Below are 16,030 nucleotides of genomic sequence, written 5' to 3'. Positions count from 1 at the left end.
TCTTTCTGTAACATTCTCCCTTTCCTGAATTATATCCTAGCCTATATGTTTTTCTTCTCTTTGAAGGACTTTTTTTTTTTTAACATTTCTTGCAAAGCACGTCTACTGATAACAAATTTCCATGATTTTTACTTGTCTAAAAGTATTACTTCTAACTTCTGAAGGATGACCCAGGACAGAATCCTAGGTTGGTGGTTTTTTCTTTCAACACCTTAAATATTTCACTCCGTGTTCATCTTGCTTGTATGGATTGTGACTTCAGGGTAATTTTGATTCCACTAAGTCCTAATTTTCATGAACAACTTTCAGTGCAATGATTTAGTATTTTTTAAATTTCATTTCCTTTCAAAAGGTCTCATTATAGTAATGTATAACCTCTTTGAAGTCAGAAAATACTATTTCTTTGTAGTCATTTTTCCTTCTCCCTTAATCATACAGGAGAAAGGAAAGAATAGAAAAGGTACTGAACTCCAGGTCCAAGTCAATCATCTTTGCTTCTCTCACATTGTCATCGACATTTACCCCAGCATTATCCTCATCGCTTCATCACTACTGCCACCCCAACCAATCTGCCTCCTCTGTATAAGTATAACCTTCTTATTCTATTTATCGTTTATGAACTTTTGCCTCCTAAAACGTACACACTATGGGTCTTCAAGAGAAAGGGCGATGCTTAAATAATACAAATAGCAGAAATCTGGGGGAAGATGTGGCCCTTAGGAGTTCTGGAGTAACTCAAAAAATTCATTGAGTGTCTTGGAGAGACTAATTGCTCCTTTTGTCTATAGGTTCTTAATCAGTGGAGAAGGGAGCCAGCTTGGAACCCAATATCAGTTCTGTTGTTGGTTAAGATGATTTAGAGAGTGTGACTTGGACCTCTGGCAAAAATGAATATATGTATGTAAAGCTATTGACCTCTCTTATAAGGGCGCAGCTTGACCCAGTAAGTTTACCCTGGGCAGAAGAGAAAAATGTATTTTGTGAGAATGTTCATCTGAAAGAGAATTTTAAAATAGGCTTTTTTTTCCCCATTTTCACCACTTAATCACTCTTCACCAAGAGTAGTGAGCATAGGAAGAAGGGTGTAAGTCTCCTTTTAATATTTTCAGAAGGTAAGAAGAAGTTCCTATTTCATGGATCAGCAAGAAATCAGAAAATTCTGGAAACAAAAACAAATACTGATCTAACCAGTAGAAACTGGGGAGATGTTACAACATTTGTATGGGATAGACTCATAGGAGAGGGGAAAATGGCACCTGAAACTTAACTCCAGGGCATACATTTTTTAAACCAAGATATACAGACCGTAAGAATTCATTTTCCTTATTCCTGTACATCACAACATTTTCAACCTTCCCAATTTAAAACAATAACAATCTAAGTTTTATAATGTATGGAGAAAGAACTTTATCAGTAGAAATAGAAGAGCTGAATACTACACCTTCATTAATTGTTACAGGTTGTCCCCCCCTATCCTATCCTTGAAGAATCTTGGGGTCTTGTCCAAGTCCCCTGCAGACTGTAGGGTTTGGATTTTATTACATTTTATTTCTGTCTTGAGTGTCTCTCCTGTATTTAAGACTAATAGGTACACATGCTTGGAATTATATGTCTACTATGAAGCGTGTTATTGCTCTTGTTTATTGTTTGTCTCTTCCTACTACAATGTAATCTCCATAAAGATGAGGAGTTTGATACTTTTTTCACTGACAAATCTCCTATGCTTAACACATAGCTGATATGAAGTGACTGAATGAAAGTGAAAGAAGAAAAAATTGTGAAGCAATGAGAAAGCGTGTGTTGCATCTTGTGGCCCTGTTTAATATAAGAAAAGAGAGGGCTGATAATATGTGTCAATGCACACAGGGAGTGAGCTGAAATATTTGCAGGATCTTAGCAGAGGTATGATTTCAAATACTCAGTGCTAGAATGGGGAACCTGTACCACTTCTCTAATTGCAACAATGATGAACTTAACTATTTATCCTTTATTCACATAAATCTAATTTACATTAATCAAATTCACCTTAATTCATTTTTACGGGATCTGAAAATATATAGAAACCAATTCCAGAACTTCTGCTTCCAACAATGGTAGAAAACATGTTTTGGACTAAGAATAAACAATAAAGTGGTATAAAATATTTTTTTAAATTCATTAAGGGCAACAGAGAGAATTTCTATTTCCAGAAAGGATATAGTCAGTGTGGCAGGCCAACACTTGGACTAACAACGAGAAAAACCTAGGTAAATTATATATTTATAAAGGAATCAGAGGGTTTTAAAAACAAGAACTAAATGGATTAAAATTCCAGAGAAGTGAGAACTTTCCAGTAATGACTTGATGATGTCCACAATTTTTTCCTCTTGGCAAAATTGCCAGGTTGGAGTGCAGGCTAAGGATGAGGCTGAGTCCAGGCAGAAAGATGCAGCTGCGGAAAAAAGTTAAACTAACAAAACTTTTAGCAGTTATATGGGGCTTTGGTGACTCACTGAAGGTGTGAGAAACCCTAAATACATGATTAAGACATTAACTGAATTCTGAGACTGTATGGAGGCTAAAACAGTAGTCCCCAAACTTCTGAAATGCAAAGTGAAGTCCCCCACAGTGTCATGGTGCTAGAGAATCAACGAACTGCTATGGAAAAGAGGAGCCCCAAAACAAAAGAAGTAAAATATAAAAACATAAGAGGGAGTAGGGAATTGACATTGGTAATTTACAGGTGGTTTTTTGATGGGAATATTTACAGATTCTGAGCAAAGCTACAGGCTGTCCCTCAAAGAAAACAACAAAAGAGATCTCTATTCTTCACAGAAGACTATAGAGTGTCCCAAACACATTGCCAGTCTTCCTTTCAAGCGAGTTGCTGAATTTTGAAGCTTTATGGAGCAGGAGGTTAAAGAGCTAAACTGAAAACTTGCTGTTATCTTTTAGGGCTGGAAGACAGAGATCCACCAGGCTCTCAATTGAAAGCCCTGGAGGGCTACACCCTAAGAACAGAAGTGAATCGGAGGTACACTTAGCAAAACTGAAACCAGCTTCTGATTCAGAATAATCTCTGACTCGATTGAGGTGATCAAAGGCTATTCTACCTGCCCAACAGAAGAAAAAGGGAACACTTTCGGTGGAAGGCAATATCATCTGGACCCTTTATGGTTTTATTATACATAATGTCTAACATTTTTTAAATTACTAGATGTGGAAGATCAAGTTCATTTGCCCAATAATCAAGAGAAAAAAACACACACAATAGAAACACAATTATAGATGATCAAGATATTGTAATCAGCAAATGAGAATTTACAAATAATTTTTATGAATATGTTTAAGAAAATAAAGTGCAAAATTGATGAGGAAATGGACAATTTTCAGTAAAACTAACCTATAAAAAAGATTTCTTTAGGCATTCTAAATTTGAAAAAATATACTATCGTCAGTTAAGAAATCAATATATGGAGAAAACTGCAGTGGAAAGGATCAGTAGAGATAGCAGTGTGTCCAACAGCCAAGAAAGTAGGGTGGCGGGCATACAGATAGTGATGTGCATAGGGGCAAAAGAAGTCATAATGGGAAAGCCATGTGGAGGCAGCAGAGTGCCTGGTGTCCAAGGAAGCATGTATAGGGGGTACATATGGTGGCAGTTGTATGCTCAGCAGAAGAAGCACCAGGGAGGTGAAGGTAAGAGTAAGTTGGGGTGCACAGTTAACAATGTGTCTAACAGCCAGAAGGTGGAGACAGGGGCATGGAGGCAGTGGCATATCAAACAGACCAGGGTTTGGTGGGGAGAAGAGTTCAAAAGTGACAACTTGCCTGGAGATGAAATCAGGAGTGATGAGTTGGCCATGGCAGTACCTAGCATTTTTAGGAAATTAATTATGTAAAGGAGGATTGATCAAGAAAGTATCTATATTGAAGCTAATGGAAGCTGGATTTCTCTCTGTGGGAAAACAAATTTACAAATATGAAAAGGGGAAGCGAAAAAAATAACTCATTGCTATTGTTATGGTAAGAAGGAAGAAGGAAGGAAGGAAAGAGCAAAAGGAAGGAAAGAAGGAAAGAGTGAAAGGGAAGGGAGGAAAGAAACAAAAAAAATTATCAATGCAAGTGAATATGTCTGTGTACATATCCATGAATACATACATATATTTCAAAATTCTGACCATGGAGAGGACCTAGGTGCAATGACACCCCAGTAGCAATTAATAACAAGTATGTAGGTTCCAATTTCCATAACAAACAACAAGGACTCCTTGTAAAAGTGGATGATTCAAGGATGGAGGTAGAGAAATTTCAAGATAAGCCTGGAACGTTGGATAATAATGAACTGTGGTTTGAATGCTGGTATTTATCGCTGTCCATTTTCTGATTTGAAAGGCTTGGCAATTACTCTGTAGGAGAGTGTCTTTGGGAGAAGTAGTAATAGGAATATTTACAGATGATAGGACATAAAGGTTTCAACTTGCTTAACTTGCTCTCAAAATATTCAAAAAAGGTATCATATCCTTGAAAATACACATCTATCTATCTATCTATCTATCTATCTATCTATCTATCTATCTATCATCTTTACAAAAAGAGATGGAGAAAATATGAAACTATTAACTGAGGAATCTGGATGAAGAGAATGTGGGAGTTCATTCTACTGTTCTTGCAACTTTTCTGATAAAAATATTTCAAAGTAAATTATTTCAAAATTAAATTTAAAAACTCAATATATGAGTTTAACAATAGGTTGGACACTATTGAATACAAGACTTGTGAACTGGAAACATATCAATGAAAAATATACAAAGTGAAGCATGGAAGAAAAAAAGAAAGAGAAAAAATAAGAAACAAATGTAAGAGACATACAGGACAAGTATGAAAGGTCTACCATGTAAAACTGAAGTTTCAGAGGGCAAGGAGAAAGAAATAGAGCAGAAGCAATATTCAAAGGGATAATGGTTGGGAATTTTCTAAAGCAGATAAAATACATTTAACCCACTGGTTAAGAAGCTCAGCAAACCCTCAAGCAGGATAAGTATAGAGAAAACCACAATTATGCAACTCACAATAAAACTGCTGAACCAAAGACAGAGAAGATGGAAAAACCAGCCAGAAGAAAAAAGACACATTATCTACAAAAGAGCAACAATGAGACTGGCAGCTGTCTCTAATAGCAACAATAGAAGCCAGAAGATAATGGAATGCTATCTCTAGAGTACTGAAAGAAACTAAAGGCCAACGTGTGAAAAACAATCTTCAGAAATGAACGTTAAATGATGACATTTTCAAACAAACAAGCAACAAAAAGAAGCAAAAAGTAAACAAAAAACAAAAATTCACATAATTTATTGCTAGGAGTTTTACACTGAAATGCTGAAGGGATTTCTACTAGCAAAAGTAAAAATGATCTCATTTGAAAAGATGGAAATTCAAGGAGGGAATGAAGAATACTGGATGGGTAAATGTGTTGGTAACTGTAAATGAATACTGACTACACAAAATTATGTTGAATAACTGAAAGATGAAAACACAATCACTTGAAGGAGAAATGTATGGTCAAACTGCATGCAGGAAAAACTTCTATAAAAGAGTTACTTCATGCTCTGGGTTGGCAGATACAATGAGCAGGAGTGCATCAGAAGTAATCAAGAAGGTGATTAGTTGGTGTACTTCAGCAGGAGCAACCAGATGAATTGGCTTCTCTATATCCCCGTATTAGCCACAAGCTAGGCAGCAGCCTGCAGGTGGGAGCAATGCCTATGCATGTATGGATCAGTGTGCTACATACAGTAAGTACAGGATGGTACCAGTTCCTGGTGAGAGGACACAGATGAATAGAAAAGAGACTGAAATGATATACAATAAGCCAGTAACTAATGTTGCCACTAGAGATGGGGTTAGAGGAAATAGTTTTGTCTACATTATATAAATCTTTCACAATAAAAATGTATTCATGTGCTACTTGTATAATTAGAAATATATTTGAAAATGAATAATTTTGTATAGGAAATATATGTTTGACTCCATGCAATAAATACTGACATCAGCATCAAAATAAAGCATTTCTAAAAATCACCTGGAAATAAAAATAGTCTTCTAGATAACTCTTGTATCAAAGAGGAAAAAAGAATCCTGATAACATAATATAATCTTGTGAATTGTAACCAAATCTTACCTTATGAAAAATTTTGTTTAAAATAACATAAATGTATAACTCAGGAAATTAAAAAGAAGAAAATAAATCAAAAGAAAGTAAAAGAATGTAAAAGCAATGACTTAAACATGAGAAAGCCAAACATTACAATTTATTGATAAAAACAGTGATCTTGTATTTGAAAAGTTATAAAAACAAAACAAACCAATCAATCCCTAGCAAGTCTAGCCAAAGGAAACCTAAGAGAACACAAATACAATATTAGAAAACAGAAAAGGTATAACCAAAGGAAATTATAATTTTTAAATAAAATTTTTGTACTTTTCTGAGTATAAAATTTTAAAATAGATATTTTTAAGGAAACTACAAACAACCAATTTGCCTGAATAAAATATAGGAAGCCAAAATAGATCAATATCCATAGAAAAGTTGAAACTTTTGTAAAAAAAATACTGTAAAATGGCTCTGGGCCATGTTCATTTTCTCAGAAATTTTTACCAAATACTGACGAATAGTTAAGTTCTGTAGTACTTAATTGTTACAAAGCTATAGAAATCATAACTTTGATACAATAAACCTGATAAATATGTCACAAAACCATGGGCCAATCTATCTAATAAGCACAAATAAAAAGTCTGTTATGAAATATCAAATCCAACAGTATACTAAAAGAGCAATACACTTTACCTGATCAAATTTATTCAAGAGTACAAAAATTGTTCAAATTTAGGAAATATGCTAATGTAATCTTGGTAGATGCTAAAGGACATTTTATAAATGTTAACGTTACTTTTGATTAAAATTCCTGGTGTGCCAAGGGAAAAGCAGACTTTCTTAACTTGGTAACAAGTATTTTTTAGAAATCCAAAGCCAATATAATACTTAATAATGAAATACCAAAAATAATCACATTAAAGTGATAAATAAGAGGACATGGGAGCACAAGAAGAAAAACCAGGGACTCTTCCAAGATGGCCTAGTAGGAACTCCGGTCTGCAGCTCCCAGTGAGATCGATGCAGAAGATGGGTGATTTCTTCATTTCCAACTGAGGTATCTGGTTCATCTCATTGAGACTGGTTGGACAGTGGGTGCATCCCACAGAGGGCTAGCCGAAGGAGGGTGGGGCGTCGCCTCACCTGGGAAGCACAAGGTGTCAGGGGATTTCCCTTCCCTAGCCAAGGGAAGCCATGAGAGACTGTGCCAGGAGGAACAGTACGCTTCTGCCCAAATACTGCGCTTTTCCCATGGTCTTCACAACTGGCAGACCAGGAGATTCCCTCCAGTGGCTCGCTCAGTGGGTCCCATGCCCATGGAGTCCAGCAAGCTAAGATCCATTGGCTTGAAATTCTCACTGCAAGGGCAGCAGTCTGAAATTGACCTGGGACGCTGGAGTTTGGCAGGGGGAGGGGCATCCACCATTGCTGAGGCTTGAGTAGGTGGTTTTATGCTCATAGAGTAAACAAAGCTGTCGGGAAACTGGAACTGGGCGGAGCCCACTGAAGCTCAGCAAGGCTGACTGCCTCTCTAGATTTCACCTCTGTGGGCACGGCATATCTGAACAAAAGGCAGCAGCCCCAGTCAGGGAGTTACAGATAAAACCCTCGTCCCTCTGGGACAGAGCACGTGGGGGAAGGGGCAACTGTGGGCACAGCTTCTCCAGACTTAAATGTCCCTGGCTGACACCTCTGAAAAGAGCAGTGGCTCACCCAGCATGGTGGTCGAGCTCTGATAATGGATGGACTGCCTCCTTAAGTGGGTCCCTGACCCTCATGTAGCCTGCCTGGGAGACACTTCCCAGTAGGGGCTGAGAGACACCTCATTAAGGAGAGCTCTTGCTGGCATCTGGTGGGTGCCCCTCTGGGACAAAGCTTCCAGAGGAAGGATCAGGCAGCAATATTTGCTGTTCTGCAGCCTCCACTGGTGATACCCAGGCGAACAGGGTCTGGAGTGGACCTCCAGCAAACTCCAACAGATCTGAAACTGAGGGACCTGACTGTTAGAAGGAAAACCAAGAAACAGAAAGGAATAGCATCAACATCAACAAAAAGGACATCCACACCAAAACCAACATCAAGACCAAAGGTAGATAAAAGACCAAAGGTAGATAAAACCACAAAGATGGGGAGAAACCAGAGCAGAAAGGCTAAAAATTCCAAGAACCAGAAAGCCTCTTCTCCTCCAAAGGATCACAACTCCTCGCCAGTAAGGGAACAAAACTGGACGGAGAATGAGTTTGATGCATTGACAGAAGTAGGGTTCAGAAGGTGGGTAATAACAAACTTCTCCGAGCGAAAGGAGCATGTTCTGACCCATTGCAAGGAAGCTAAGAACCTTGAAAAAAGGTTAGAGGCATGGCTAACTAGAATAAGAATAACTAGTGTAGAGAAAAACATAAATTACCTGAGGGAGCTGAAAAAAACAGCACGAGAACTTCATGAAGCATACACAAGCTTCAATAGCTGATTAGATCAAATGGAAGAAAGGATATCAGTGATTGAAGATCAAATTAATGAAATAAAGTGAGAAGACAAGATTAGAGAAAAAAGAATGAAAAGAAATGAATAAAGCCCCCAAGAAATATGGGACTATGTGAAAAGACCAAATCTACATTTGATTGGTGTACCGGAAAGTGACGGGGAGAATGGAACCAAGTTAGAAAACACTCTTCAGGATATTATCTAGGAAAACTTTCCCAACCTAGCAAGACAGGCCAAGATTCAAATTCAGGAAATACAAAGAATACCACAAAGATATTCCTTGAGAAAAGCAACCCCAAGTCATATAATCATCAGATTCACCAAGGTTGAAATGAAGGAAAAAATGTTAAGGGCAGCCAAAGAGAAAGGTTAGGTTACCCACAAAGGGAAGCCCATCAGACTAACAGTGGATCTCTTGGCAGACACCCTACAAGCCAGAAGAGAGTGGGGGCCAATATTCAACATTCTTAAAGGAAAGAATTTTCAGCGCAGAATTTCATATCCAGCCAAACTAAGCTTCACAAGGGAAGGAGAAATAAAATCCTTTATAGACAAGCAAATGCTGAGAGATTTTGTCACCACCAGGCCTGCCTTACAAGAGCTCCTGAAGGAAGCACTAAATGTGGAAAGGAACAACGGGTACCAGCCACTGCAAAAACATGCCAAATAGTGAAGTCCACTGATGCTATGAAGAAACTGCATGAACGAACGGGCAAAATAACCAGCTAGCATCATAATGACAGGATCAAATTCACACATAATAATATTGACCTTAAATGTAAATGTGCTAAATGCCCCAATTAAAAGACACAGACTGGCAAATTGGATAAAGAGTCAAGACCCATCAGTGTGCTGTATTCAGGAGACCCATCTCGTGTGCAAAGACACAAATAGGCTCAAAATAAAGGGATGGAGGAAGATCTACCAAGTAAATGGAAAGCAAAAAAAAGCAGGGGTTGCAATCCTTGTCTGTGATAAAACAGACTTTTTTGTATTATTATACTTTAAGTTCTACGGTACATGTGCACAAAATGCAGGTTTGATACATAAGTATACATGTGCCATTTTGGTTTGCTGCACACATCAACTTGTGGCACTATTCACAATAACAAAGATAAAACAGACTTTAAACCAACAAAGATCAAAAGAGACAAAGAAGGCCATTACATAATGGTAAAGGGATCAATTCAACAAGAAGAGCTAACTATCCTAAATATATATGCACCCAATACAGGAGCACCCAGATTCATAAAGCAAGTACTTAGAGACCTACAAAGAGACTGTGACTCCCACACAATAATAGTGGGAGACTTTAACACCCCATTGTTAATATTAGACAGATCAACAAGACAGAAAATTAACAAGGATATCCAGGACTTGAACTCAGCTCTGGACCAAGCAGACCTAATAGACTTCTACAGAACACTCCACCCCAAATCAACAAAATATACATTCTTCTCAGCACCACATCGCACTTATTCTAAAATGGACCAGGAGAAGTGTTTGGAAGTAAAACACTCCTCAGCAAATGGAAATAACAGAAATCACAACAAACTGTCTCTCAGACCACAGTGCAATCAAATTAGAATTCAGGATTAAGAAACTCACTCAAAACCACTCAACTACATGGAAACTGAACAACTTGCTCCTGAATGACTACTGGGTAACTAATGAAATGATGGCAGAAATAAAGATGTTCTTTGAAACCATTGAGAATGAAGACACAACGTACCAGATTCTCTAGACACATTTAAAGCAGTGGTTAGAGGGAAATTTATAGCACTAAATGCCAACAAGAGAAAGTAGGAAATATCTAAAATCAACACTCTAACATCACAATTAAAAGAACTAGAGAAGCAAGAGCAAACAAATTGAAAAGCTAGCAGAAGACAAGAAATAACTAAGATCAGAGCAGAACCGAAGGAGATAGAGACTCAAAAAAAAAAACCTTCAAAAAAATCAATGAACCCAGGATCTGGTTTTTTGAGAAGATCAACAAAATTCATGGACTGCTAGAAAGACTAATAAGGAAGAAAGAGAAGAATCAAATAGACGTAATAAAAAATGATAAAGGGGATATCACCACCAATCCCACAGAAATACAAACTACTATCAGAAAATACTATAAACACCTCTATGCAAATAAACTAGAAAATCTAGAAGAAATGGATACATTCATGGACACATACACCCTCCCAAGACTAAACCAGGAAGAAGTCGTATCTCTGAATAGACCAATAGCAAGTTCTGAAATGAGGCAATAATTAATAGCCTACCAACCAAAAAAAGTCCAGGACCAGATGGATTCACAGCCAAATTGTACCAGAGGTACAAAGAGGAGCTGGTACCGTTCCTTCTGAAACTATCCCAATCAATAGAAAAAGAGGGAATCCTCCCTAACTCATTTTAGGAGGCCAGCATCATCCTGATACCAAAGACTGGCAGAGACACAACAAAAAAAGAATTTTAGGTCAGTATCCCTGATAAACATCGATGCAAAAATCCTCAATAAAATAGTGGCAAGCCGAATCCAGCAGCACATCAAAAACTTATCCACCATGATCAAGTTGGCTTCATCCCTGGGATGCAAGGCTGGTTCAACACATGCAAATCAATAAACGTAATCCATCACATAAACAGAACCAACGACAAAACCCACATGCTTATCTTAATAGATGCAGAAAAGACCTTTGACAAAATTCAACAGCCCTTCATGATAAAAACTCTCAATAAACTAGGTATTGATGGGACATACCTCAAAATAATAAGAGCTATTTATGACAAACCCACAGCCAATATCATACTGAATGGGCAAAAACTGGAAGCATTCCCTTTGAAAGCTGGCACAAGACAAGTATACCCTCTCTCACCACTCCTATTCAGCATAGTATTGGAAGTTCTGGCCAGGGCAATCAGACAAGAGAAAGAAATAAAGGGTATTCAATTATGAAAAGAGGAAGTCAAATTGTCTCTGTTTGCAGATGACATGATTATATATTTAGAAAACCCCATCATCTCATCCCAAATTTCCTTAAGCTGATAAGCAACTTCAGCAGTGTCTCAGGATACAAAATCAGTGTGCAAAAATCACAAGTATATCTATACACCAATTACAAGCAAATAGAGAGTGAAATAATGAATGAACTCCCATTCACAATTGCTACAAAGAGAATAAAATACCTAGGAATGCAACTTACAAGGGATGTGAAGGAGAACTACAAACCACTGCTCAATGAAATAAAAGAGGACACAAACAAATACAAGAACATTTCATGCTTATGGATAGGAAGAATCAATATTGTGAAAATGGCCATACTGCCCAAGGTAATTTATACCTTCAATGCTATCCCCATCAAGCTACCACTGACTTCCTTCACAGAATTGGAAAAAACTACTTTAAATTTCATATGGGAAAAAAAAGGGCCCGCATAGCCAAGACAATTCTAAGCAAAAAGAACAAAGCTGGAGGCATCACACTACCTGACTTCAAACTGTACTACAAGTCTACAGTAACCAAAACAGCGTGTTACTGGTACCAAAACAGTTATATAGACCAATGGAACAGATCAGAGGCCTCAGAAATAATGCCACACATCTACAACCATCTGATATTTGACAAACCTGACGAAAACAAGCAATGGGGAAAGGATTCCCTATTTAATAAATGGTGCTGGGAAAACTGGCTAGCCATATGTAGAAAGCTGAAACTGGATTCCTTCCTTACACCATATACAAAAATTAACTCAAGGTGGATTAAAGACTTAAATGTAAGATCTAAAACCATAAAAACCCTAGAAGAAAACCTAAGCATTACCATTCAGGACATAGGCATGGGCAAAGACTTCATGACTAAAACACCAAAAGCAATGGCAACAAAAGCCAAAATTGACAAATGGGATCTAATTATACTAAAGAGCTTCTGCACAGCAAAAGAAACTCTTAGCAGAGTGAACAGGCAACCTACAGAATTGGAGAAAATTTTTGCAATCTATCCATCTGACAAAGGGCTAATATCCAGAATCTGCAAAGAACTTCAACAAATTTATAAGAAAAAAACAACCCCATCGAAAAGTGGGCAAAGGATATGAACAGACACTTCTCAAAAGAAGACATTTATGCAGCCAACAGACTTATGAAAAAATGCTCATCATCACTGGTCATTAGAGAAATGCAAATCAAAACTACAATGAGATACAATCTCTCACCAGTTAGAATAGTGATCATTAAAAAGTCAGGAAAAAACAGGTGCTGGAGAGGATGTGGAGAAATAGGAATGCTTTTACACTGTTGGTGGGAGTGTAAATTAGTTCAACCGTTGTGGAAGACAGTGTGGTGATTCCTCAAGGATCTAGAACTAGAAATACCATTTAACCCAGCAATCCCATTAGTGGGTATATACCCAAAGGATTATAAATTATGCTGCTATAGAGACACAAGCACATGTATGTTTATTGTGACACTATTCACAATAGCAAAGACTTGGAACCAACCCAAATGCCCATCAGTAATAGACTGGATAAAGAAAATGTGGCACATATACACCATGGAATACTATGCAGCCATAAAAAAGATGAGTTCATGTTCTTTACAGGGACATGAATGAAAGTGGAAACCATCATTCTCAGCAAACTATCACAAGGACAGAAAACCAAGCACCACATGTTCTCACTCATAAGTGGGAATTGAACAATGAGAACACATGGACACAGGGAGGGGCTCATCACACACTGGGGCCTGTAGGTGGGTGGGGGACTGGGGGAGGGATAGCATTAGGAAAAATACCTAATATAAATGACGGGTTGATGGGTGCAGCACACCAACATGGCACATGTATACCTACGTAACAAACCTGCACTTGGTGCACATGTACCCCAGAACTTAAAGTATAATATAAAAAAAATAGAGAATGCTTTCTATTAATACTTCTATTATTCAACAAGATTCTGGAACTTATGGACAATAAAAGAATATAAGGAAAGGAAAAAAGTATATATTGGTTGTAAAATGTATGATTATTTACCAAAAATTATATAACTACCTTGGAGTAAAATCAAGAAAACTGTCTGCTACAGCAACAGAAAGTACGAGAAAGCAGTTAATACAAGATTAATATACCAAAAATCAATAAAAGTTAGAAAATGAAGTGGGAAACAAGACTCATTAGTAATGCTAATAAACATACCTAGAAATAAATCCAATAAGAAAGATGCAAGATTTTCAGTTAAACACAAAAGAAAGACTAAAATAAATGAGGAAACATAACTACATTGAGGGAAGAGTATAAAGTAGTAAGTTATAATAAAATTATTGCAATTACAATTAAAAACCAAATTAAGCATTTTCAGAACCTTGAAAAATAAGTTTAAAATTTCATTTGGAATGTAATAAATAAGTTATAATGCTATGAGCAATGTGAAAATGATTAAGTCCTCATCTGTAATTTATTAAAACATATTATAAAATACAGCAATTAAAATACTCTGACACTAATAGAGATAAAAATCAATAGGTCAAGGAGTTATTCATAATAAAAAATAGACCTTGATATATATGAGCTTTACTATATAATAAAAGTGATATTTCATATTAGTGGAGAAAAGACATATTGTTCAATAAATGGGCTACAAAATTTTCCTACCCAATTGGGAAGAAATGAATCTGTATTCCTACTTCAGAACCATATCCTAAAAGGTCTCTAGATTGGTTAATGTTTTAAAAATAACAAAAATAATAAGTGTACCAGTGGAAAATAATTTTTATGTAAGGAACACCTTTCTAAACACATCAGATAAGTAGAAACCATAAAGAAAAAAATGAATGAAATGACTATATAAACAAGATAAAAGACAGATGACAAAATGAGGGAAATTGCAATGATACCCAATGTGTTAAAATTATCTTTCACAAATCTGTAAGATAAAGGAAAACACCACTACAGAAAATAAACAACAAATATGAACACAGAATTCACAAAGAACACAGATGATCATTAAAGATAGCTCTTAAAAAATACACAAACTCACTTATAATTAAGTAAAAAAAAATTAGACTAACAAAGACCAAAATGTATTACAAATTTACATTGTTAGGTATGATAATAGGAAAAAATATGGACTTTAATCATTCTTGATGGAAGCATACATTGATATATTTTGTCTTTCTCTTCTAGAAATTTATTATGCAAAAATATTTCTCCAAGTAATCACAGATATATGTATCATTATATACATCATTATATATGTATAATGATGCCACTTTTATTACAAGTGTGAAACTAATCCAAATGCCTATCATTGCGGGACTGGTTAAATAGATTATAATAACTCTGTATAATAGAGTGGAATACTATGTGGCTATTAAAAAGAATGAAATGACTCTGTGTATATTGATATGGAAAGATACCCAGTGTATATTGTTTAGTAAAAAGGCAAGTGCAAGTTACACATACACGCACAGTATGATATATTTTTTGTAGTATATTTGTGTACATATTTGCATAAACATAGTCCAAAAACTGGAAGGATATAGACCAATTGCGATCAGTGGTTTTCTCTCAGGCATGGTGTAAGGATGGGGTGGAGATTTCATTATTCCTTTTGAATAAGTTTGTTCAATGATGCCTATGTTGTTTGTATATAGAAAAAAATGAAAATGAAGAAGTATATGGTACAACTGGGGAACTCAAAGCCAAACTTGTGCCTAACTCTGACTTTAAATACCTGAAGAAAACAAATTTTGAAAGAAAATTCCTCAAGTTAGTCCTATATCTCTGGAATATGATAAATTTCACAGAGATTTTTACGTTGTTTTCTCCACACATTTCTCTGTGATGATCTGCGCTGCACTGCTTGATGGAGTCCAAAGGGTTTTGCCGATGATGAGGATGCCAGAGTGTGGCGCCAGAGAGTCACCAAGCCCCAAATTAAACTTAGGAGCTATGGCAAGGTAGGGCCCCCAACCAACAAATCCAGGAACCCAGGCCTATCATAACAGTAATCTGACCTGTCAAGCCCTATTTTCTTTCACTTCTAAATGCCTTTCCATTGTTCCTTGAACCACCCCTGGAGGCCACGTAAGATGACAGCAGCTGCTGTCAGGGAAACTGCCCCTGGTAGCTGTAGTTTGGGGATGGGATGGGTACAGAAGAGATGCTCTGAAGACATGAAAACACCTCTTTAATGTGGCAAGACACTGAATTGTAGGGAATGGAAAGAACATTAGCAATAAACTTTGGTAGCTGTTTTGGAACACAGACCACTTGGAATGGAAACAGAAATTCCCTCAGGGAAAATCATAGCAAGTAGACTGCAGCCACAAAATAAAGAACAGCCCAGAATATACAAATGAACATGTTTCTTCCTACACTAACTGTATATCTTTATAGCATCACCTTCAAGGCTAACATATTTCATT

General features: G+C 36.7%; 1 long non-coding RNA gene across 1 annotated transcript in view, besides 2 other annotated features; it reads left to right on the top strand.

Annotated features, from left to right (window-relative positions):
• Window positions 2,854–2,923: an enhancer, noted in NCBI's record as "active region_25191". NCBI's record gives its function as "activates an Ori minimal core promoter by ATAC-STARR-seq in GM12878 lymphoblastoid cells {active_cell/tissue: GM12878}" and the evidence as "EXISTENCE:reporter gene assay evidence [ECO:0000049][PMID:35858748]".
• The window catches only part of LINC01277 (long intergenic non-protein coding RNA 1277), a 71,162-nt gene continuing 60,312 nt past the window's right edge, over window positions 5,181–16,030 (top strand). The window contains exon 1 of the long non-coding RNA NR_038987.1: window positions 5,181–5,774. This is a non-coding gene — a long non-coding RNA (long intergenic non-protein coding RNA 1277). The remainder of the gene's footprint in view (window positions 5,775–16,030) is intronic.
• Window positions 7,636–7,805: an enhancer, noted in NCBI's record as "active region_25190". NCBI's record gives its function as "activates an Ori minimal core promoter by ATAC-STARR-seq in GM12878 lymphoblastoid cells {active_cell/tissue: GM12878}" and the evidence as "EXISTENCE:reporter gene assay evidence [ECO:0000049][PMID:35858748]".

This window comes from Homo sapiens, chromosome 6 (genome assembly GCF_000001405.40).
Source record: "Homo sapiens chromosome 6, GRCh38.p14 Primary Assembly".
NCBI lineage: Eukaryota > Metazoa > Chordata > Mammalia > Primates > Hominidae > Homo > Homo sapiens.
This window is presented reverse-complemented; position numbering and strand designations above follow the sequence as displayed.